This window comes from Homo sapiens, chromosome 10, assembly GCF_000001405.40.
Source record: "Homo sapiens chromosome 10, GRCh38.p14 Primary Assembly".
Taxonomy (NCBI): Eukaryota; Metazoa; Chordata; class Mammalia; order Primates; family Hominidae; genus Homo; species Homo sapiens.
This window is the reverse complement of record NC_000010.11, coordinates 14,579,785-14,603,795: the sequence shown is the minus strand read 5'-3', so window position 1 is coordinate 14,603,795 and position 24,011 is coordinate 14,579,785. Positions and strand designations below refer to the sequence as shown.

General features: G+C 44.7%; 1 protein-coding gene across 12 annotated transcripts in view, besides 7 other annotated features; it reads left to right on the top strand.

Moving 5' to 3' along the window:
- The window catches only part of FAM107B (family with sequence similarity 107 member B), a 256,341-nt gene that overhangs the window by 171,102 nt on the left and 61,228 nt on the right, over positions 1-24,011 (top strand). For 2 of the 12 annotated variants that reach the window (XM_047425813.1, XM_047425819.1), the window contains exon 2: positions 8,116-8,172. The exons of 9 other annotated variants lie outside the window; for them this stretch is intronic. The gene's annotated coding sequence lies outside the window, so the exon portion shown is untranslated. Of the gene's footprint in view, positions 1-945; positions 8,173-24,011 lie in introns of all 12 variants that reach the window. One more of the 12 variants, XM_047425815.1, reaches the window with a different exon arrangement.
- Positions 1,657-1,826: an enhancer, noted in NCBI's record as "active region_3077". NCBI's record gives its function as "activates an Ori minimal core promoter by ATAC-STARR-seq in GM12878 lymphoblastoid cells {active_cell/tissue: GM12878}" and the evidence as "EXISTENCE:reporter gene assay evidence [ECO:0000049][PMID:35858748]".
- Positions 4,514-4,603: an enhancer, noted in NCBI's record as "active region_3076". NCBI's record gives its function as "activates an Ori minimal core promoter by ATAC-STARR-seq in GM12878 lymphoblastoid cells {active_cell/tissue: GM12878}" and the evidence as "EXISTENCE:reporter gene assay evidence [ECO:0000049][PMID:35858748]".
- Positions 4,687-4,870: a silencer, noted in NCBI's record as "fragment chr10:14640925-14641108 (GRCh37/hg19 assembly coordinates)". NCBI's record gives its function as "represses an EF-1alpha promoter that drives an FKBP-Casp9 reporter gene in an ReSE screen in HepG2 liver carcinoma cells {active_cell/tissue: HepG2}" and the evidence as "EXISTENCE:reporter gene assay evidence [ECO:0000049][PMID:32094911]".
- Positions 7,266-7,766: an enhancer, noted in NCBI's record as "H3K4me1 hESC enhancer chr10:14638029-14638529 (GRCh37/hg19 assembly coordinates)". NCBI's record gives its function as "activates a minimal SCP1, AML or CMV promoter by ChIP-STARR-seq in primed H9 embryonic stem cells {active_cell/tissue: H9 hESC(primed)}" and the evidence as "EXISTENCE:reporter gene assay evidence [ECO:0000049][PMID:30033119]".
- Positions 7,767-8,267: an enhancer, noted in NCBI's record as "H3K4me1 hESC enhancer chr10:14637528-14638028 (GRCh37/hg19 assembly coordinates)". NCBI's record gives its function as "activates a minimal SCP1, AML or CMV promoter by ChIP-STARR-seq in primed H9 embryonic stem cells {active_cell/tissue: H9 hESC(primed)}" and the evidence as "EXISTENCE:reporter gene assay evidence [ECO:0000049][PMID:30033119]".
- Positions 15,319-15,518: an enhancer, noted in NCBI's record as "active region_3075". NCBI's record gives its function as "activates an Ori minimal core promoter by ATAC-STARR-seq in GM12878 lymphoblastoid cells {active_cell/tissue: GM12878}" and the evidence as "EXISTENCE:reporter gene assay evidence [ECO:0000049][PMID:35858748]".
- Positions 20,496-20,555: an enhancer, noted in NCBI's record as "active region_3074". NCBI's record gives its function as "activates an Ori minimal core promoter by ATAC-STARR-seq in GM12878 lymphoblastoid cells {active_cell/tissue: GM12878}" and the evidence as "EXISTENCE:reporter gene assay evidence [ECO:0000049][PMID:35858748]".

Here is a 24,011-nt window from a genome sequence, read left to right as displayed (position 1 = left end):
AAGCCGGGGCCGGGGAGGTTTGCCCCGCGCCGACGGTGGCCGTGACACTGACTCCAGTCTGCAAGTAACTTTTCCTCTTTTGCCTCTTCTCTTTCTCCCCTGTTCCAGTGAACCCAGCATATGGGGTGGTGTAACACACACAAGGAGTCCTAATTCAATTTGGGTTCCGTAATTTCCCCCAGGCATCTTTAGGTCCCTTGGAGGTGGCACTGATGGGTATGGCCAAGTGTTAGTGTTATGTAGGGGATGGTGTCCACCACTTGTGAAATCTGCAAGAGGAATTAGGTTGAGAGGGTAAACTGTAGATTTCATTCTCTGCTGCAAGGTACCAAGCCTGCTTCCTTCCTCCCTCCCAAAGATTTTAGGCAATGACAGCGGAGCAAAGTTACTTGATAGGATGGGTGCGATTTTGAGGGGTCAAAGAAAAACGGAATGAGGGCTGTTGGACTTCACATTCTTAAACTTGCGATTTCTTGCTATCAAGTACATCGGTTTTCTCCTCCAGCCACGTTTTCCTAACATCACTTTGGAAATTCTATCTATCCAAGTGGCTTTAAGTTGAAATAGTGTCTGGGCTACCTGTCCAGAGAAGATTTCTTAGCGCTGCTGGTTTCCGGTTTAAAACTTTTCATGAGAAAATTTTATATATTAATTAAAAAATTGAAAATATATAGAAAAAAACCACTCATATGCTCACCACCCAAACACACCCTAAGGATGAAGGCATCTTTGCTTAATTTATGACTTGGCAGCCATAGTGTGTTTGTGTGTGTGTGTGTGTGTGTGTGTGTGTGTGGGAAAGAGGGTGGGGTGGTAAATGAGAGCATTACTGACCAGCCACATCAGCCTAAAATATATTTAATCATGATAATTCTACAATATTGGTATGCCACTTACATCCAAGATTAATACGGACAAGTTGTTTTGAAATATATTTTCTTATAGGTTTGCATATAACCACCTGTACAGAAGGGAGAAGAAAGAAACAGGAAAAACAATGTAAATTTCCACTTTATTTGGAAGAATGGGCTGACAAAAAAGTTTCATGGACTATATTTTTGAATTCAGGAGTCATTTGGGATTGACTTTTGTCTTTAAATGAAATCTTTAAGCTTTAAAAATATTTTAAAGGTAACATTGTGTTCTGAGATTCATAAGAAATATGTGATGGAAAGGAATTCTTGTTTGTGGAACAAGGAATAGCAGTGATTGTACAACCGGGTGCATGCTGGCTTCTTAAAGACCTTGCACTGAGAAAGTAAAATAAGGGTTTTCCTGAGAATCGTGAGTTGTGTTGAGTGTGTATGTTCTTTTAAAATAAAATCGTTCTTTAGCCACAGATTTGGCCACTGGACGCTTTTGTCATTACATACTTTTATTTTCCTCTTGTAACATTTTTGGACTTTTGAATTCTCTAATATGCAAAATAGAGGTCTTTGAGACAACCGTTTAGAAGTAGGTTGATCATTAGGATGATGCAATACATTTTGAAGTTAGAAGAATCTACAAGAAGGAAGTTGTGGCTGTGTCCACTCAGGTGCATTTTTGTTGCAGTTCCTGACACTCGGGGCGCTTTAATCTGCACACACGCTCAGGGGAGTGTTGCGGTGCAGTAGTAGCCTGTGAGTGAATGAGTCATGCATGCAGTCTGCTCTGATGATCGGCATTCCTTCAGGAGTCGTGATGTGTTTCTGTCTGCAAAAGTCAAACGAAGCTCCAATAGGAAATGTCACAATCTCCTACCCCAGGGGACTGGAGATCCCCTTCCTTGGGTGGTTAAAAATGGACTTGATTTGCGCTTCTGAGAAACTGACATGTGAAATCTTGTTCCTGATGTGGGAGGATGGACGCCGTCATTCATTCATTCATTCATCGAATCTTTCCTTTGACTGTTAATTGTTTAAAATCTCACAAGTAAAGGTGGAAAAGAGTTTTACTGATTTTCTTTGGGAATGGTGGAGGGGTAGAAGACTTCTCTCCTGATGGAAAGAGGAAAGATGAGGAATATGGCTTAATGTTATTCCTAACTTACCTTCTGCCCCTTCCCTCCAGAATTCTGTGTGCAAGTGTTTTAAGGAAATGAGTTGGGAGTTTGGGTAAGTGAGATCTAGATTTTGGGCATTTGTAGAAGTCCCCGGCTATCTGGGGGAGTTGTCACTCTTCTTTCAGCCTAGAGAAGGTGACTATGGGTGCTAGTGTGCTGTGGGGCACACTCGGGGGTGGGAAAGCTGCTGTGGAGTGGGATGTCCTCTGTGTGCATCATGGGGTCGAGTGTGGCCTTGGGATGACCTCATGAGACCTTGCTGCATTTCCTTGTATAGTTCCCTTGTCTAATCATGGCCTATTTTTGCTTTTCCTTCTTGAAACAAACCATTTTTCTCCCCTTTTCCTTTCTAGTTCAAGAAGGGCTGGGCCTGACCCATCTGAAGTTTCCCTCACCCTAAGTACTTAGGAAACGTGCTGAAGAGGAATGGACAGTCTTACCCATCTCATATCCCTAATTCCGGTACCCCATCAGTGAAAGAAAGAAAGATTATTTGGCAAGCTGGATTAGATTGCCATTTAGTTATGGTGCATGGACAAGGGGCTATTTTAAGGTTGATGGGGGAGGCTTTGCTTGTCATTTACTCTCCATTCACCAGACATTCAGTGCCCGTCATGTGCCAGGCACTGGGTTTACTGCTGTTAACAAGACTATAAGGCAGGTGAGGAGGATATTTAAAGAACTGGGCTGGGTACAGTGGCTTGTGCCTGTAATCCCAGTGCTTTGGGAGGCTGAAGCAGGAGGACTGCTTGAGGCCAGGAGTGTGAGACCAGCCTGGGCAACATAGTGACCCTCATCTCTACGAAAAATTAGCTGGGTGTGGCAGCGCGCTCCTGTGGTTGAAGCTACTCAGGAGGCTGAGGCAGGTGGAATGCTTGTGACCAAGAGTTTGAGACCAGGCTGGGCAACATAGTGACCCCCATCTCTACAACACATTTTTAAAAATTAGCTGGGAGTGGTGGTGCATGCCTGTAGTCCCAGCTACCCTGGAGGCTGAAGCAGGAGGATCACTTGAGCCCAGGAGTTCGAGGCTGCAGTGAGCTGTGATCACGCCAGTGCACTCCAGTCTGGGTGACAGAGTGAGAGCCTGTCGCTAAAAAATACATATACATATACATAAAAAAGAATTATACAAAATTACACAAAAATTGTTTAATTACAGTTAAGAGCTGGGAAGGGAAAGCACTGCTTGGTGAATTAAGGTATCTCAGAAAGAATGATGTCAATGCCATTGAAGGTGGGGGTTGGGTTTCTGATGGTGGAAATGTCAGGGTGGGTGGGTGCGGCGGGCCATGGAGCTGCATAGGGATTTGCCTAGCGCCCATCAGTTCAGAGCCTGCTGGTAGGGGCTTAGCTGAACAGATGAGGTGGACTGTTCAGTTCTGTCTGGAATTTGGCTGTGGGGTTCGGACACTTTGTCGCTTGGGATTGAAGGTGGATCGGGAAACCGTATGGTTCTGTCCCAGTGTCCTTGCTGAAGGTAAACCTCATGGCCAGTAGCCCTGGGAAGCCGGTTGTGGTAGGACGTGGTGTCCTGAGCTGGCCTGGATTCCAGAAGTGAGGACTTGTATCATGCAAAGGGCACCCAACTACAGCTGTGCCCACCAGAGGTTTTGTTGCAAATGAAAAGATAAGAGGAATTTGTGGGGAAAGAGTGAGAAGACTTATTTAAGAACATTATTCGGACTCAGATGAGCTGTAGGAAGGAAAACGGGGAGAGAGATGCAGAAAAAGGAGGTAATGTTGCTTTGACACCAGGTGAACTCTTGACTTTGGGACTGACTTTTTGTTTTTAAGTGAAAATAAATCTTTCAGCTTTAAAAATATTTAAAGAGTAAAATTGAGTTCTGAGATTCATGAGATGTATGTGATGGAAAAGAGTTTTTTTTTTTTTTTTTGTAGATCAAGGAATAGCAGTGATCCCACAGCAGGGTACACGCTGGCACTGAGAAAGAAGAAGGGCTTCCCCACAAAGAGGGAGTTGTGTTGAGTGTGTATGTTCTATGGAAATAGAAATCATTATTCAGCCGCAGATTCTACATTCTTTTATATTCCCTGACCAGAGATGTTTTACCAAAGGTGTGAGTTAAGCATATCTTTTTTTAAAAAACTGTAGAGATGGGGTCTCACTATGTTGCCCCGGCTGATCTTGAACTCCTGGGCTCAAGTGATCCTCCTGCCTTGGCCTCCCAAAGTGCTGGGATTATAGACGTGAGCCCCCAGGCCTAGCCTACCAAGGATGTGAGTTAAGCACACGTGAATAGTCCTAAAACAGGCCCTGTGGTCTGTAGTGGTGTTGGGGGCGTGTGTAAGTCACATGGGTTGGAGACAATAATGTTTCCTCCACACAGCAAAGTCTTGGGGTTTCTGCTGTGGCAGAGAGACTGGGGTGTAAGAACAGCACCCCCTTAGAGGCTGTGAGAGGGCAGGGGACCCTCTGGGCTGCTCAGCAGGCCTCTTCCTGGTGGGGCTGCTTAAGTCCTTAGCAGTCGGGAGACTTAGAAGTCTTGAAGTGGGGGGGGACACTGAGCCCCAGCAACCCTCAGGTTATGTATGTGTTGTCAAGTCTCCCGTAGAAACAAGGTAGAAAAAATGCAGGTTGCAGACTGGCTCTTCCGACCATGGCAGGTTTAGGTGCATGAGGTTAGAGGGTTGTGCCTCCTCATTCTCTCTCTCCTTTCTGTTGTCAGTGCTGACTTGAATTATGCTGGAACATCTCCAGGTGACAGCCCTGCCTGGCCACAGCCTGGGCCAGAGGAGTGGAGTTGCTGAACGGAGCAAGGTGCTGTAGGGGAAAGGTGTGGAGCTGTGAGCCTGGCCTCTCAGGGTGAGGATCCAGGCCCCAGCTCTTTGACCTCCAGCAAGTCCCGTAACCCCTTGAGCTCTAGTATTCTCATCTGTGAGGTCGCCTGGGTTATATGCACCTCCCATGCATGGTGGGGACATGTGGTCCCTGAGATTTGGCAAATGAGGGGTGTTTATGCTGTTATGCCAGTGCCCACAGCCTTTCAAAAAATGTTCTTTACAAAATGTTACTGCGATAAGAGCACTTAACATGAGATCTACCTTCTTAACAGATTTTTAAGCGTACGGTGTTTTATTGTTGACTGCAGGTGCAGTGTTGTAGGGCAGCTCTCTAGAGCTTATTCCTCTTGCTGAACTGAAACCTTGGGCCCATTGATTGGTAACTCCCCATTTTCCCCCACTGCAGTCCCTGACAACCACCATTCCACTCTTCAAGTCTATGAGTTTAGCTACTTAGATGCTTCATCTAAGAGGAGTCACATGGTATTTGTCCTTCTGTGCCTGGCTTCTTTCACTTGGTCCTCCAGGTTCATGCATGCTCGTGCTTGTGGCGGAACTGCTTCTTTTCTAAGGCTGCCTGGTATTCCACTGTATGTATATTACCACATGTGTTTACCCATTCATCTGTCCTTGATGGTTAAGCTGGTTCCACAAAACTCCTAGAAGAAAACATAGGGGAAGAGGTTCAGGACACTGGTCTTGGCAGTAATTACGCGGCTGCCACGCTAAAAGCACAGTCAACAAACCCAAAACTAAACCAGATTGCATCGAACTAAAAAGCTTCTGCACAGCAAAGGAAACAGTCAACGGAGTGAAAAGGCAACCTGTGGAATGGGGAAAAATGTTGGCAAACTACATATCCAATAAGGGGTTAATATCTGAGAAGTTTAAGGGATTTCCGCAAATCAACAGTAAAAAAATGAAGAACCCAACTAAAAAATGGGCTAAGGACTTAGACATTTCAACTCGGAGTTTTTTTTTATTATTTTGTCTTTTTGAGACAGAGTCTCACTCTGTCACCCAGGCTGGAGTGCAGTGGTGCCATCTCGGCTCACTGCAACCTCCACCTCCTGGGTTCAAGCGATTCTCCTGCCTCAGCCTCCTGAGTAGCTGGGATTACAGGCATGTGCCACCACGCCTGGCTCACTTTTGTATTTTTAGTAGAAATGGGGTTTCACCATATTGGCCAGGCTGGTCTTGAACTCCTGACCTCAAATGATCCGCCTGCCAATCCTCTCCCAAAGTGCTGGGATTACAGGTGTGAGCCACCGTGCCTGGCCTCAACTCAGAGTGTTAGTAATGCAGCCGGCAGTGATGTCAAGATGCGGACACAGGGACACTTGGAGGATGGGAGCTTTGTCCCTTGTCCCCACCTGCTCCTCAGTATCTCTTCATGCCTTCAGGAGAGTTTTAAAGATAACTGGGTTTTCATATTAGAAATAGCCTGTTTTATTCCATTCTTGGACAAGAGTTTTGGCATTGTTCCTAAAGTGTCATAGTAAAGTGTATAGGAAAGAGGGCTGTCATTACTGTGGTATAAGCTTTTCTGTGCCATTATTAATATATGGGACAGAGCATACTTTGTGAAAGTTAAAACTCACGCTTTATCCAAGTTTTAAGGTATCTGGTGAATGCTAATGAGTTTACAAAAATTGTACAGTCTTATGAAATCTTGCAGTATAAATAATCACAGGTGGTTTGTGAGTGTTTAATGTAGATGTATCAAAATTCCCATGTCCTGGAGGAAGTTGAGAATGCCATTTGTGCATATGCGTATGTAGAGGGGGCTTCATAATATTCTTTCCCTTGTAACTTGATTCTATTTGAAACACATAAAACTGGTCAGGGTTCTTTTTCATTTTTTCTTTTTTTAGTGGATGTGCAGGGTAAAGTAGTGTATCGGAAAGAGAGAGGCCTAGACTTGAAAGATTTTCAGACTTTTAAGCCTAAGCTTGCCATGAATGAGTATATGACTTTTGAGCATGTCATTATTTCTGTTTCCCAGCGTCGTCTTCTATAAAATGGAAATAGTCACACTCACCTACTTCTTAGAGTTGTCTTAGGGTGAGATAGAAGCCTGCATTCTTTATGCCTGCTTGTCCTTCTAGGGAATGCTCTGGAATTGGAACAGCATGTGGGCCACCCCTTAGGATAGGTGACTCTTAGAAGGTGAGAGGAGGCAGGGCGTCGGGTGTGCAAGAGAATCAGCTACATCATCTTTCAGGTTCCTGCTGCGGTGGGTGAATTCTGTTATTCTGTGCCCATGGAATGGGAGGTGTCATAGAAGTCATAGACATCAGACGTAGAGTTTGACCTGAGTGAGTCAGTTGCCCTCTTGGGGTTTGCATATTCTTACCTGTGAAATGCAGTAATAATACTGGTAATATTATTATTATCATCAATGAACAGTTTTTAATCATCTTATATGTGACCAGGCATGGTGTCAAGTTCTTTATGACATTTCTTCATTCATTCAGCAACTATTTAATGAATGCTGCCATATGCCAGTCATCGTTCCAGGCTCTGGGGATCAGTGGGATCACGGGCTAGCATGGTGGCTGGGACAGACAGACTCCCTGCCTGCATGGAGTTTATATGCTAGTGCATGACAGAAGGTAAACAGATACATGGATGAGGTGATTCCCATGGTCAGTGCTGTAAAGACAACTAAGTCAGTTCAGGGGGCTGGAGTCTGGTGGGAGAGCAGGTTGTGTTTTTATTAGGATGAGGCTCCTCCGAGGAGGAGAATTTGAGATCTGAGTGAGGCAAGGGGATGAGCCTCGCAGAAACAAGTGCAAATATCAGCCCAGTGGCTGGCAGGAGCTTGCTATGGAAGGAATGGCCAGAGGGCCTGTGTGGGAGGAGCCAGCGGCCAGGGCAGGAAGAGAGCTGTGCAGTGGGGTCCAAGGAGGTCTGGCAGGCCACGGTGAGGACGTGGCTCATGAGGAAGCCACAGGAGAGTTCTGAGCAGGGCGTGCAGGAGATGGACCTTGTATTTTGTCAGTGTGTCCCTGTGGTTGTGGAGGGCCACGGGGACTGCAGAGGGCCAGGAATAGAAGCAGGGAGACCAGCCGGGGTGCCGCTGGTGAGATGGATTGGAGTTGATACAAGAGAGAAAGGCATTGTGGGTGACACCTGCTCTTTTGGCCTCAGCCTTTGGGTGAAAGATGGTGCCATTGATTGATATGGGGAGACTGGTGGAGGATGAGCTTTATGATGTTCACATCAGCCTCTGGACTTAGTGTTGTTTTATTCCCATTTTACAGATGTGGAGACCAAGGGGGAGAGAAGTAAAAAGTTTGCCCTAGGACCTGGCCAACAAGGTGAAACCTGTCTCTACTAAAATTATAAAAATTAGCCAGGCGTGGTGGTGCACGCCTGTGGTCCCAGCTACTTGGGAGGCTGATGCAGGAGAATCGCTCGAACTCAGGAGGCGGAGGTTGCAGTGAGCTGAGCTCGAACCACTGTACTCCAGCCTGGGTGACAGAGCAAGACTCCCTCTCAAAAAAAAAAAAAAAAAAAAAGGTTGCCCTAGGAAGAAGCTGAGCCAGAATTAGGATCCAAGTCTGATCTATGCCCAAGTCTTGCGTTTTCAATCATTTTTGCTGGACTCTGTACATATCTGCATTTACTCTCATTGCGAGATTGATACGAAAGTACCTGCAGAAATGCTTGGGAGATGTATCTGTTTTGTTGTTAGCATAGCTTTATTGCGGTATAATTTATATTCCATACAATTCACCCATTATATGTACACAGTTGTGTAATTTTTAGTAACTTTATAAGGGTGGGCAGCCTCCCCCCAGTCCAGTTTTTAGACTTTGCAGTCAGTTCCCCCTCCCACCCCCAGTCTTAGTTAATCAGTGATCTTTTCTCTTGTCTGTAGCGTTTTGCCTTTGTACAGGTAGAATCACAGTGTGGCCTCTCTCTTGGGTCTGGTTTTGTTCATGTAGCATAGTGTTTCTGAAGTCCATCCATTGTTGCCTAAGACATCTGCTTTTAAGGAACCTTCTTAGAGTTTGTCATCTATCATAAGAGATACCCTGTGCTGATGAGAAAAAGGTCCACTGAGATGTGCCTTAAGATGAGAATAAAAATAACAGTGGCCAGCATTTCCCGAGCATTTGTTATATGCCAGGCACAGTTATGGCCATTATTTTCTGTGATTTCTAGAAATCAGTTGTAGAGGCACCAACCAATGCAGTTCCATGAGAGGTGCCATGATCAGTGTTTTTCAACAAGGGAGGTTAAAAGCTTGCTCGGGGTTTTAAGAGCTGGGATCAGACTTGGGCCTTCTTCTCATGGAGCTGTGTCTTTACTGCTTCTTCACACGCCCTTCACCATGTGTTTGAGGCTTGTGTCTTCGTAGCCTCACAAAGAGATTGGGATTCCAGTTGGAGAATGCATTTGCCAGTTTTGTTTTTTTTTGTTTTTTTTTTTTTTTTGGCAGGGTCTTGCTCTGTCATGGAGGCTGGAGTGCAGCAGTGCCACCATAGCTCACTGCAGCCTTGAACTCCTGGGCTCAAGGGATCTTCCCACCTCAGCTTCCTGAGTAGCTAGGACTGCAGAGCGCTTCACCACTCTAATTTTTAAATTTTATATTTTGTAGAGATGAAGTCTTGTTCTGTTGCCCGGTTGGTCTTGAACTCCTGGCCTCAAGCAATCCTTTTGCGTTGGCCTCCCAAAGTACGGGTGTGAGCCACCGTGCCTGGCTGAAAATTGTAGTTTTAAGGGGAATATTTGTACTGAATTTTTATTTTGGCATTACCGTATGGAGATGATAGTGTCTTAAAGTGATCCATTTGTGAAGTATTCTTAGGCATAGTGTCAGAATGGCACCAAATTAAAAACACATAATTATGTCATCAGGCAGAGCCTGTGTGTTTGAGTTGTTTTAAATGTTGTGTTTACCAGAAATGCCATTTTTGTACAGAGTGCCCCAAGGCTGTTACCCTATTAATGAATGGAATTTAATTAGGCATCATGCATTTTTCAACATGTTTATCTAATTGTATTATGTATAATACATTTTACTCTCGAACAGTTCTATATCTAAACGGTATTTTTTCCTGCCACATATAGTCTATATTGGAAGATTTCATAGTTTTGTATTGCAGAGGAGTTCTTTGTATATCCCAAGAATTCTGAAATTTTGGAAAAGATTTTAAACACCTTACACACTCAAGTAGCTTGGTAAGAGCTGGTTACATAATTTTAGCCATGATAAGCAATAATTTTCTTTTTTTTTTTTTTGAGACAGATTCTCAGTCTCGTCCCCTGGCTGGAGTACAGTGGTGTGATCTCAGCTCACTGCAACCCCCACTTCCCAGGTTCAAGCGATTCTCCTGCCTCAGCCTCCTGAGTAGCTGGGATTACAGGTGCCCGCCACTGTGCCTGGCTAATTTTTGTTTATTTGTTAATTTTTATTTTTATTAGACATGGGGTTTCACCATATTGGCCAGGCTGGTCTCGAATTCCTGGCCTCAAGTGATCCGCCCACCTCAGCCTCCCAAAGTGCCACTGCGCCCGGCCAGCAGTAAACTTTCTTGAATAAGAATTAGTGTTACACTGGGTTCTACCCCTGGTTGCTGGTAGAACAGTTTTTACTGGTGTCACATCTTCCTAAACTTTCTCAAATGGAATTATGGTGTCGTTAAACTTATTTTTCACGTTTAGTATGTTTTTCTCTTTTAAGGATTTTTAATTATAATTTTAGTTTACTAGTTCAAAGTAGCAAACAAAAAAGCTTTTTATGTTAGAATACCTAGTTTTAAGAATAAAAATTAAGAATTAATAATATTAAATTTTAATTTAAAAAGACTTCGTTCAAATCTTTGTTGATCTCTTTATCTGGGTAGGACCCCAGGGAAGTCTGCCATTTTTTAAAATATTAACCCGCTGAATGGTGGGCCTTTGAAATGAGTGAAAGAGGTCAACCATTGTTCCATATTTGTTGGGCAATTCCAGGCAGTGCAGTGGCCAGTTAGAAATCCTCACGACTTGAGCTGGAAGCCTGGGGGAAAGTAGGATTTGGGGGCAGAGGTAGGTACTGGAATGGTGCAGTGAAGAAGCTGTTATCTTCCGTTGCCAAGGGACTCTGTTCAGCTTTAATCTGTGTCCTGGCTGGACGGTGCATGTCAGCTGCCCAGGCTACCAGTGTGCAGGGCGCAGGAGTTAGAAGCAGGCCCCAGTCTGTTTCTTTTTCCATTCCAGAATCGCTTCTGACTGGCACATGCCTTGAAGAGAGGAGATATTATCTTGCAAAACTGATCCAAGTAAAATTGAAATTGCAGGGAGTAAAAATTGGGCTGTACATGTAATGCATGCACTTTATGCAAGTTATGCCTCAATTATATATTTTTAAAAAGATACACGAAAAACAAAGCCAAACTACAAAACCCCTGGGTAGAAATGCAGGATTAGACACTGTTAAGGATGCAAAATCTAAGCCACCTGTTAGGTGTTGTCTCTTTTTCTCCCCTTTCACTTCAGAGGTGCCTTGTTTTGATTCACGTGATAAATTGACTCTGGACAGACCTGTGATTTTATGCTTTTTTATGTGAATGGCTTTCCCATGAAGCCTCAGAGTTGCTACGAACCTGCTGGCAAAAATTTCCAGCAAAGGAACCTGTACATTTCCGCACTAGTAGCCCCAGGAACTGCCTCTTCCTTTGCCAAAGCTGAATCATCTTACCTGAGGGTTTCTTGGTCCTGAGCTGGGTGTGGCCCAGCCATTCATAGCCTAGTTTCTGTGCTGGGCCCTGACCTTTCAACTCGGGGATGGCTGGGCATGCAGTTTGGGAAATCAGATGGCACGGGATCGGGGAAGCCCAGGGATCTGCTGAACTTCCCACCTCCCCAGCATTGATTTCATCCCTTATTCACTTAGAAATGGCTTTTCTTAAGGACCAGGATTTGAACAAAGTCTGTCCAATGCATTTGATGGTTATGCCTTTTAAAGCTGTATACATATAGAACAGTTCCTTTACCCCCACCCCTTCCCCCCATGCTATTGACTTGTTGAAGGAATCAGGTCACTTGTTCCGTAGAATGTTCCACATTCTGGATTTGGGTGCTGGGTTTCTTTTAAACTCATCCCACTAGTCCCTGTATTTCTGTAAACTGGAAGTTATCATGAAAGCTTGATCAGATTCATGTGCAGTGTTTTTGGCAGGATTAATTTGTTGGTATCATCTGGCTTAACGTTGCCTCAGCTTAGGAAAAGGTCTGACTGTCTCACGTGTAGTGATTCTAAAACTGAGCGTTGGGGTCCTGTGGTGGGTGGCAGCTTGACCCTTTCATTTCCTCATCGATCTTTCTCCCAATGCCGTTAGCATTCATCGATGACTGTTGTTTGAATTAATTATTTCATTAGAGATTGTTGATTCTTCTCTCTTAATGAGATGGCAGTGAGCATGAGATGAGATTTAAACTGACCAGGGTATCGGGGAAAACTGACAACATTGATACAGCTTAGGGGCATCTACAGAATTCACAGAAAAAAGCAAAGATTGGCTTGGCTCTTGCAGTTACTGTGAGCGCCTCCTGTTATTAAAGTTAATTACCGTTTGCACGGTCTTCTGTGGATGTTACCCTGTCAGGTTAATTTTGTTATTTAAGTCTTGAGTTGCAGCAATATTAAATTCTGTGCATATGTGCTAACTCTCTTTTTTATGTAACTTGGGTGCCTGTTCACCTAAGTTAGGAGAGAATGACCTAGGTTTAGGAGGTAGAATTCCCCGTGATGGTGCAGACCATGATAGAGAGTATCTTTTTCAATTGTCATTTTAAATTTTCTGACTTGTAAGGAGACATTCATGCTCAGTCTTTTCTTATAAAAGATCAGTCATTGATGAGTTTAAGATAACTAGAGGAGAATGATACATCTGAAATAGTTTTGTGTTTTCTTCTGCAAACATACGGAAGAAATGGATCTTTTTTTTTTTTTTTTTTTTTTGAGATGGAGTTTTGCTCTTGTTGCCCAGGCTGGAGTGCAGTGGAACGATCTCGGCTCACTGCAACCTCCGCCTCCTGGATTCATGTGATTCTCCTGCCTCAGCCTCTCAAGTAGCTGGGATTACAGGCACGTGCTACCACACCCATCTAATTTTGTGTTTTTTTTTTTTTAGTAGAGACAGGGTTTCTCCATGTTGGTCAGGCTGGTCTCGAATTTCTGACCTTGGGTGATCCGCCTGCCTCACCCTCCCAAAGTGCTGGGATTACAGGCATGAGCCACTACGCCTGGCTGAGAAATGGATCTCTTAATGGCACCTCTCAACTTCATTGTTAAGAGTGTTTGGAGAGGGTAGATACTTGAATTGTTTCTGTTAGGAAGAAATTGAGAGTTCCTTTGGAAGAAGCATGATCGTAGCGAATGAATTTAATTTACATATGCTCCATCAGCACCAGGCTGCACGGTGACATACTACATCCGCAGTTTGATTTTGGGACAACTTCCATACTTGAAGGCTACCAGAATGGAAATATATTGATTCTAACTATCATGGGCAAGCCTGTCTTTTGCCACAATGTGTTGTTTGAAACCTATTTGTTAAAAGGATCATTATAAAGTAGGTTCTAGGATTCCCATAGTCACAGTCTCATTCTGAGGAGTCGTGCTGTTGACCAAACACTTGATTTCATATAAATCATGGCTGTGACCAATAAGTCCTAAAAGAAAGATGTGAAAACTAGAAACGTGGAAGAGTTTGAAATCATAAATGTTGCTTCTGTTGTCAGAGAGGTCTTGAGCTTGGAGAAGCCATAGAAATGAAGAGGTCATCTAATCAAGATTCTTCATTTTTGGTGAATAAACCAACGCTTAGATGTGTTAAATTGCTTGCCCAAGACCACACAGCTAATGATTTGTAGAGTTGGAACCAAAACTCATCCTGGAATAAGGACCATTAGTACGTTAAGTGTTTCTTTTGAACATGTTAAATGCTTCTTACATGCATCATTTTTGGATCCTCATGACAACCCTGTGATTTAGGACTGTAATTGGTTTTATTTTCTGAGGAGGATGTTGAGGCATAGAGACATTGAATATCTTGCCCAGGATCACCCAGGACTGAGATATATTCACTGCAAAGAATGTGCTTTTCTTTTTTTTAATTTTTAAAATTTTTAAATTTTGCTTTATGTTCTGGGCTACATGTGCAGTACATGCAGGATTCTTACATAGGTATACATGTGCCACGGTGGTTTGGCGCACCCATCAATCTGTCATCTAGGTTTTAAGCCCCGCATACATTTGGTATTTGTCCTAATGCTTTCCCTCCCCTTGCCCCTCATCCCCCAAGAATGTACTCTTATTCACCCTATGGTGTACTGCCTTCTGATTCATTCAGTCATTCATTTCTTCCTTGTTATTATTATTACTGTTTAAAATTCATTATTTCGTGTTAAAGGAATGCCTTATTCCTAACAGCCCAGAAACATTGCCTTTCAAGGACTTTCCATATACTCTTAAAATCTATATTTTTAAAAACCTACCAGCTCTAATTATTGCAGATATAGTCAGTGGAAATCACTAGCTATAATAAATGTTATTTGAATAATTGGTAATTGTGCCTGGCTTACTAGTATTTGAAAAAGCTTTCAGATTATAGATGGTTCAGGACTCTTATAAGATGTCTAGGTAAGTTTGAACTGATAGTTTCTTTCTTTTGATAAATGTCCTATGCCAACCTACAGCTTTAAAAATAATTCCTTTGACCATTCTTTTAAAAAGTCACCACTTACTCTTTTTTTTCTTTTCTTTTTTTTTTTTTGAGACAGTCTCGGTGTGTCACCTAGGCTGTAGTGCAGTGATGTTATCTCGGCTCACTGCAACCTCCTGGGCTCAAGTGATTCTCCTGCCTCAGCCTCCCAAGTAGCTGAGACCACCGGCATGCACCACCACACCCGGCTAATTTTTGTATTTTTAGTAAGGATGGGGTTTCACCACGTTGACCAGGCTGGTCTCGAACTCCTGACCTCAAGTGATCTGCCTGCTTTGGCCTCCCAAAGTGCTGGGATTACAGGCGTGAGTCACTGCGCCCAGCCTCACCACTTATTCTTTAAATTCTTGGAAACATCATGAAGGAATCAACTTGGGATGGGTTTGGAGCCCTCCTTCTCTCTCTTCTTCCTCCTTTTCACTCCCCTTCAGTAACAGTAACATCCTGGGGAGCTCTGAAGCTGAGATTTCATAAAGATCAGATGTGTTTTTGGGAGACAGCGTGTGTGGGGTGATGGGTGGGGAGGAGTGGAGGTGAGAAGTCACCCTGTGGCATGGGAGAGGATGTTTGATGTTGATTTTCTGAGTGTCAGCCTCCTGTTTCTCAGGACGGTTGGTTGACTGTCTTTTTCTCTACTTGCGCTGCCCACAAAGAGCCAGATGTGGGTGCCTCCGGGGGTTTATGGGACCCACTTACCTGTGTGAAGCTGGCTTACAGAGAGGGGAGAATGGGTAGACCCTGGTAGCGTCCAGGGAGACTTTCACGTGGGCGTGGTTTGTACTCTGACCCACTGGTGACTTTAAACAATTTGTCATCAAATACCACAGTTGGCTTTGCAGCTATCTGGTATTTGTGCCTGGAGTAGGTTTGTTTGTTTTGTTTTAAATGCTTCTAAATTACAATTCTTTGTGAGCTTCCTGTTTCCTACTTACAGCTGAAATATGTGATGACTGACTCTACCAGGACTGCTTTTTTCCCCTTTTCTGCATTTGTGCTGGAAACAGAACAGCTTGCACGCACAGCCTGGAGCATGTTGCCTGCATGTGCTTCTTGGTGGACGTGAGCACATGGCTGACTAATTTCAAAAACCGCCTATTTATATCCTCTTCAGAAGCGCTGTCAGACATTAGGCACTCTCTCTACTAACGTCACGTCGATTAATATGGATTTTAAAATGGAAGTAAATTATTTTTTACTCATGGGTGAGTCATTAGATAGTCTTTTTTAAATATACATCCCACCATTTCTCTCAAGGGTGTCACACTGGTAATTGTCCCATGCTGGAGTTTTCAGCAGTTATCATAGGATTGAGTGCAGGAGGAGGCTGTGGAGAACACCTAACCCTCTGATTTTATAGATGAAATGACAGCCCAGGGTTGCTGAATTACTGAGAGCTCAAAGCTCCTTGGTGCAAATCTAGGACTAGAGCTCTCTCCTCCCGTAGCTTCGAATTGAGCACAGTGTCCTTTACTGTCACCCACCTTGCCTCACCCTACCTACCCCACATGCTGGCACTTGCCACCACAAAAGAATAAAAACAAGGACAGGAAACAAAACTTCCTAGTTGCTAGGGTTGTGGTGACGATTTTATAGCAGAAAAGAAAATAATGTTTAAGATATGTAATCCTAAAGAAACTGTCTTTTTTTGGATGTTTGTGTAAGACAAATTCTTATTCATACTAATGGAAAGTCTTAAAAACATTAAACATGAAAAATAGTTGTTCATACCATGAAAATAAGCCTAGGCATTTATTTAAATGTATGAGAACTATCTTTGTCGACTGTGTCTGTTGTCCACATTTTGACTTCTAGGGCTAAGCAACTTCCCGCGATTGGATAAATATGGGAGTTCTTTCTAAATAAATATATGAGAATATATTTCTGTGCATAAATACATGAGAATAAATACATGAGTACCTGCATTGTGTCTTACACTGTCATTATCCTCAGGCTTTTTTCAGATGTATGTTGTCATTTATTAGTTCCGACACTGGCGCATTAGAAGGACGATGAACTTTTTGCTAGATAGACCTAGGTGGCATGTCGTAAGTGCTTTTATCTTGGTGAGTTCAAGTTTTCTCATCTCTGCAGTGTGACTATTATCAGGCAGGAAAAGCACCTGGCACAGTGCCTGTACACAGGTGTGAACAGAGGTTAGTGTCTGCTCCCCCAAGGTGGTGTTGTGATGTGATGTCATACGTGATTGTTTACACTCTCACCTGATGGGCGAGACTATTCCATTCTCATAGGACTCAATGAGAGAGAGTTTGTCCCAGGATTGGGGTGAATGTTTCACCTATATCATCCTCTTGGGCCTTCTCCACCTGAAATGTAGCCTAGTTTGATAAGCAGTGGTAGAATACAGAGACAGGTTAGGAACCTGGTGGGGGTAGAGGGTCCATACTGGAGCTCTGGGATCTAATTGGAGAGTGGAGGAGCGACCCTGGGCTCAAAGGTATGGCTGTCTTCATCCATTTGGGCTGCTGTAACAAATACCACAGACGGGGTGGCTTAAACAGCATTTATTTCTCACAGTTCTGGAGGTTGGGAACTCCAAGATCAAAGATGCTGGCAGATTTGGTGTCTGGTGAGGGCTCCCTTCGTGTTTTGTAGAAGGCCACCTTTTTGCTGTATCCCCACATGGTGGAGAGGGAGATCATCTGCCTGGTGTCTCTTTTTCTAAGGGCACTAATCCCATTCATGAGGGCTCCACTTCTATGACTTAATTACTTCCCCTAAGCCCCACTTCCAAATATCATCACGTTGGGATTAGGGCTTAAATAATATGAATTTATGGTGGAGGAGGAAAAAATATTCAGTCCATAGCCATGGCCAAGGTGAGCAGAGGCTTCAAGTCTATGGGCAGGCAGGATTCTCATCTCATATATTTTTTTCTTTTATTTTTAAATCTACCACAGAGACGTTCTTTGCTACAGGTAGGATTCTTAAAAGCAAAGCAGTGTTCTGAAGAGAAGGTGGGTTTTCAGTGGCCTGGGATGGAGGAGGATAAGGAGGATGTGAGTTGTAGAAGTGAGAGTGAGGCTGAAGGTCAGGAATTGAACTAGCACATGAGGAATTCGGGTCAGGAGGTCACCAGTAACCAGGAGTTGACAGTGATGCGGACTCAGTGCCCTTGCCCAGGTATTTTGTTGCTTGCTGGGTTCCTGTTTATGCAGGAGCTGATTGCTGGCTGGGAGCACCCCTGCACGCCCAAGCAAGAGGGATCCAGGGTCAGCAGTTAGTGGCAGGAGAACCCCCTGAGGGTGCCTTGTATGCAGGGAGAGTGCATTTCCTGTTTGGTTTGGGACGAGCCTGGTCCAGGTGTAATTAGTAACAGAGGCTTCCTCCTTACTCAGCAATGACTGCTGTGGTCGACAATTAATATGGTCACCCTACTCACGAGTACTTGGTTGCAGAGAAGTATTTGTTATGTGTATGAGTGAAGATCCTGACCAAAGATTTGACCACACAAGGTTCTGTGGTGAGTCCATGGTTTACCTGTCTCATGGGCGGAGCTTGGCTGCCTCTCTTTGTGTACTTGTTATTTGAATTCCAAAGAACGTTCTGCGCCACACTTTTCAGAGCTCTTTTCTCCCAGTGTGTGTTTTAGATGGCCGTCTGTTTTGTCATTGATAAGCTAATTCTGTAAACCTCAGGGCAGCTGCACATGCAGCATCTGTAATTGCACCTCTGTAATTGGCTGGAGTGCTCGAGAGACTGTACTTGCTTTTCCTGGCGCCCCCCAGGGTCCGTGGCTTCACCTAAAGGCTTGGTGGCAGGGACTGGTGAGAGAGGGAAGAGGAAGAGAGGAGGGAGAGGATTCTTGGTCTTCTACTCATCAGCCTGGTTGACAGGGGCTGGGAAAGTCTGATTCTTAGTTGACTGCCGGGAAGATGGGGCTTGCGAGAGTGGAGGGGGCTGAGGTGGGGTCCAGGTGTTACTAGTGGAGGGTGTCCAGGTTCTTGGCATTTTGAACAAAGAATTGGACAAAACGCACAAACAAAGCAAGGAAAGAATGAAGCAACAAAAGCAGAAATTTATTGAAAACAAAAGTACACTCTACAGGGTGGGAGCGGGCTGGGCATAGGGGCTCAAGAGCCCGGTTACAGAATTTTCTTGGGTTTAAATACCCTCTAGAGGTGTCCCTTTGGTTACTTGGTGTACACCTTGTGTAAATGAACTAATGGCTCACTATTGGTCTGATTGGTTATTTGAATCAGCAAGAGGGGAGCAATCAGAGGCTGAAGCGAAGTTACAAAGTTACACCCTGTGCCAACATCTGATTGGTTGCAGGAAGCAACCAATTACAGGCTGAAGTGAAGTTACAAAGTTATACTCCTGTGCAAATGAAGACTTGGCCTGTGACCAGCCTGATTGGTTGGAAGAGGGGACCAAGCAGAGGTCCTTTCAGTTTCACCTGCCATGCAGAAAAGGTGGGGGTTGCAAGGGGAGTGGCCTCCGGTCCTTTTGTTACATAGGTGTGGAAAGTTGGGGTTATCCTTTTGATTTAGTTCTAGGAAGTCAGTGTGAATCGGCCTTAGGTTCCCTGCCTCCAGCCCCTATTCTCCTGCCTCACAGGGTCCGTATCTTGGAGCTGTTTATAATTGTAGGGAGAGCACTGCACGTGTGTTCCTGGTTTTCTTTTGGTGTGGTTTCTCCATCCCTTTTGGGAGGAGTTGATGCACTTCCTTGAATTTCTGCACCAACTATTTTATTTGGATCACAGCATCTTACAGGCTGTTGTCATGTTTTGAGACTTTTTTGTTTATGGTGAAAATGGAGCGAAAGACTCTGAGTGCCGAGGGCCATGGGGTGCGAAAGCATAATTCTCATCGGCAGCTGGACCTCGGAGGTCCTTTTCCACCTTGGGGTTTTCCCCTGGTCACTTGGTTATACACTGCGTTTTTCCATATCTGGTTGGCAACTCTGAGGACAGGGACCCTTGGCATCCTCATCTTTGTGTCTCTTTAGGGTCCTATAGGGCTTAAGTGCTTCTTCCTGAGTCATTGCTGCTACTCAGCTGAGACACCAACGAGCTACCCAGATCAGACCCAGAGTGTTGCTGCTTATTTAGGTGGCAGCCTCAGGGCTGGGCATCAGGAGGGCCTGTCTTGCTTGGTCCCTCCATCAGTCTTTCTTTCGGACCCAGTATGTCTCAGCATCTGGATCTGCCGGAGTAGCTAGGAACTCCTACTGAAAGGCAGTGTTTATTTCTGTGTTGGTGTCATTTTAGTCCCACACTTCCTGAACTCAAAACCCTCTTTCCTAAGACTTGCCATGAAACACTCCTATGAACAACGGTGACCACGAGTCCCTTTCGGGGAGAGTGTCGTTTTGTACTTTGTATTGTGTCCCAGGCCCTGGATCCTGAGGGGTGGCCTTGGGTCTAGGAGAGCGCTCAACAGGGTTCGCCTATAGAAGATTCTTCCGGTGAATGGACGAACTTGTGGCCTTGTCCAGTGGTTTCTTTTCCTTTTTCCCTGTAGTTTCCTTCCACTGTCAACTTTTCCCCCTCCTTCATAGCAGCAGGTGTTGGCAAGGACGTGCCCAGATTAGTTAGGCCCAGCCTCTTCTTCTTCCTCCGTCCCCACCCACCTTACCTTTAGGACTGGGGTGGGGTGATGTGTCTGGCCACAACTTCCGCGACCACTTTTTAAAAAAATTAAAAATGGAGAGCCACGCCACATGCTTGTGACTTCCACAGGTGAAAGAATACTCAGCTCTAGAAGGGCGGAGGTGAGTGGGTGGTGACTTCCCGCTAAGGTGAGCTTGGGTCCTGTTTTCAGAGTTCTGTGGTCTGTGCTGCGGTCCTGCGCTTCATGTCATCTGTCACTAAGGTGCAGCAGCAGCTACTTTCCCTGCAGTATCTTCATCTCCGACTCTGCCCCGCGAGGGCCCTGACTCTCAAATAAGACACAGGCTGTCCTGTTAGCCAAGCAGAAGGGATATGTCCTCTTCTCTCTCCCTGGGTAACTTCTGCCAGATGAAGAATTTTCCTCCTTCTGGTTTCTTTAGTTGGAGAAATAGTAATAGTATGATTTATCAGGCTCTGGAATGAGACTGCCGGGCCCACCTTCCAGGTCTGCCGTTTACCAGCTTTGGCTTTCTTTCTTTCTTTTCTTTTTTTTTTTTTTTTTTGAGACAGAGTCTCACTGTTTTGCCCAGGCTGGAGTGCAGTGGCGCGATCTCCGCTTACTGCAGCCTCCACCCCGCTGGGTTCAAGCAATTCTCCTGCCTTAGCCTCCCAAGTAGCTGGGATTATAGGGGCACGCCACTCTGCCCGGCTAATTTTTGTATTTTTAGTAGAGATGGGGTTTTGCCATGTTGGCCAGGCCGATCTCGAACTCCTGACCTCAGGTGGTTCACGTGCCTTGGCCTCCCAAAGTGCTGGGATTATAGGCGTAAGCCACCATGCCCGGCGAGTTTCGTCTTTCTTATCAATAAAATAATAGTGCCTCCTTCATAGAGTTATACAGTAATAAAGTTGGTGTAAGAGTAGTGTGCCTCCATGGAATAAGTACTCAGTACAACGTTAAAACATGTGGGTAGGCTGGGTGTGGTGGCTCACGCCTGTAATCCCAGCTCTTTGGGAGGCCGAGGGGGGCAGATCACAAGGTCAGGAGATCGAGACCATCCTGGTTAACATGGTGAAACCCTGTCTCTACTAAAAATACAAAAAATTAGCCGGGTGTGGTGGCAGGCGCCTGTTAGTCCCAGCTACTCGGGAGGCTGAGGCAGGAGAATTGCTTGAATCCAGGAGGCGGAGGTTGCCGTGAGCAGAGATTGTGCCACTGCACTCCAGCCTGGGCAACAGAGTGAGACTCTGTCTCAAAAAAAAAAAAAAAAAAAGAAAAGAAAAAACAAAAACAAACATGGGTATGTGGTTGCAATAACTTACACTTCGATGCTCTGGTACTGTTTTTAGAAAGACCATTATTTATCTCCCAGAGGTGTGGTCACAGTTTATTATCTAATCAGGATTAGAGTGAATTGTTTGAAAACTTAGTGTATATTTACGGGGATAGCAAAGAAGGATATTTGAAACTGAAGTATCCTAGCAACCTTGGATCCCTTTGGTAACCCATGGCAAACAGGCTGCTGCTGCTATTCTCTATGGTTGAAGACAGGGTTTTATTCTTATGTGCCATAACTGGGAGTGTCAACTTTTGTCACAAAGAATGTGTCAACAATATGCCAAAGTTGAAACTGTCAACTTGGGCAAGCATCCTATACAATTTTAAACAATACCAAATTCTGTACAGCTGTCTCCTTATGATAAATGGGCATTGATTTTATTTATATTTATTTTATTTTTTTGAGACATGGTCTTGCTCTGTTACCCAGTCTGGAGTACAGTGATGTGATGTGACCACAGTTCACTGCAGCCCTGGACTCCTGGACTCAAGTGATCCTCCCACCCCAGCCTCCCGAGTAGCTGGGACCGTGGGTGTGCACCACCACGCTCACTTGAGTTTTACTATGTTTTTGTAGAAACAGGGTCTTGCTATGGTGCCCAGGCTGTTCTCCAACTCTTGACCTCAAACAGTCATCCTGCCTTGACCTTCCAAAGAGCTGGGAGTACAAGTATGAGCCACCGCGCCTGGCTGGGCATTGATTTTAAAACTGCTCCTGGTGTGGACACCTGCCGGTGATGGCAGCCAGAATTAGATGTCTGCTGGGAACATCCTGATGGCTGGATGAGGCTGTGGCAGGGATGGCTCTGAACGAACGTCTTTCAGGCCAGTTAATTTTTCCACTGCATTTGGTGGCCTGGAACTCTGACACTTGAATCAACTGCTTCTTGAGTTGTGGAATGCATCTGAGGCTGAGCCTGACCCGGGTTCCAGCCGCTTCCCTCGTGGCACCCTACCGCAGCCACATTGGCCTCTTTGCTGTTTTCCCTAAGCAGCGATTCAGGTGCTTGCCCAGGGCCTCTGTGTTTCTCCAGATCCCTGTCAGGAAAACTTGGGCCAAATGTGCTGCAGAGGCCTCCGGGCCACCCTTTATAAATGCGACATCTGACGCGCAACGCTCTCTTACTCAGCTCTTGTTATTTTTCTTCCGAGCACTGCACCAGACCGATTGCAGATATGTGCGTGCTCATTTGCAAATTGCCTGTCCTCCTCCTCCCCTGGCCCGGCCGCTAGAACCTACATTTCATAGACTTTGGGTTTTGTATCTGCTGTTTCCAGCAGCAGAGACTTGCTTTAGTTCTTGCTCTGATTTGCTGTAACTTCAGGTGCATTCAGCCAGGTGAGATTGCTTATTGAACTTACCAAAGCAACAGAGTAAGAGTTCTGGAGGTTTTAATCACTGTGCTCTCAATAAGCCAACAGAAGGAAATGATCTCTGGGAAGAACGTTCTGCAGAATACATTACGTTCCATCTTGGTATGAAGTTAGGATCCTGGGAGGCCAAGTGTGAGGATCCTGCTAGCATTTTCTTTCAGTGAATTAAAATGATTTAAAGAGCAGTGAATTAAAGGCTAGGCATAATCCTATGTCTTTGGCCTTTAACAGTTTTTTTTTTTTAATAAAACACAGCTATGTGTTCAGTATGCTTTTATTTGGCATGAATGAATAAAGGCTTTTGTCCATGCTGTAGTGCGCTGTTCCTTGTGTAACATTCCATGTGGAAAACTTCTTTTAGACAATCATACCATGATATTTTTTCTTTTCCTTGAGAAGATGGATACTTATTTTTTTTTCTAAGAATGTATAGTATGTACCTTTTTATTTTTGGTCCTGGCCCCCAGGAAACTCAAAACCACACTTAATACAGAGATCTGGAAATTATATTAGCCCTTGTGTGTACCACTTGCTGTTTCTTTTGTAGGGTGGCCTTGACTTACTTACTTTTTTTTTTGGCACGGAGTCTTGCTCTGTCGTGCAGGCTGGAGTGCAGTGGCATGATCTCGGCTCACTGCAAGCTCCACCTCCTGGGTTCACGCCATTCTCCTGTCTCAGCCTCCCAAGTAGCTGGGGCTACAGGCACCCACCACCATGCCCAGCTAATTTTTTTGGATTTTTAGTAGAGACAGGGTTTCACCATATTAGCCAGGATGGTCTTGATCTCCTGACCTCATGATCCACCCACCTGGGCCTCCCAAAGTGCTGGGATTACAGGCTTGAGCCACCGCACCCAGCCTGGCTTTCTAATGTTATTTTATTTACCTAGTTGAATGTATGACTTTTTTTTTTTTTTTGAAATGAAGTCTTGCTGTAACACATGCTGGAGTGTAATGGCATGATCTCAGCTCACTGCAACTTCTGCTTCCTGGGTTCAAGCAATTCTTCTGCCTCAGCCTCCCAAGTATCTGGGACTGCAGGTGCCTGCCATCATGCTTGGCTAATTTTTGTATTTTTAGTAGAGATGGGGTTTCACCGTATTGGCCAGGCTGGTCTCGAACTCCTGACCTCAAGTGATCTGTCCTCAGCCTC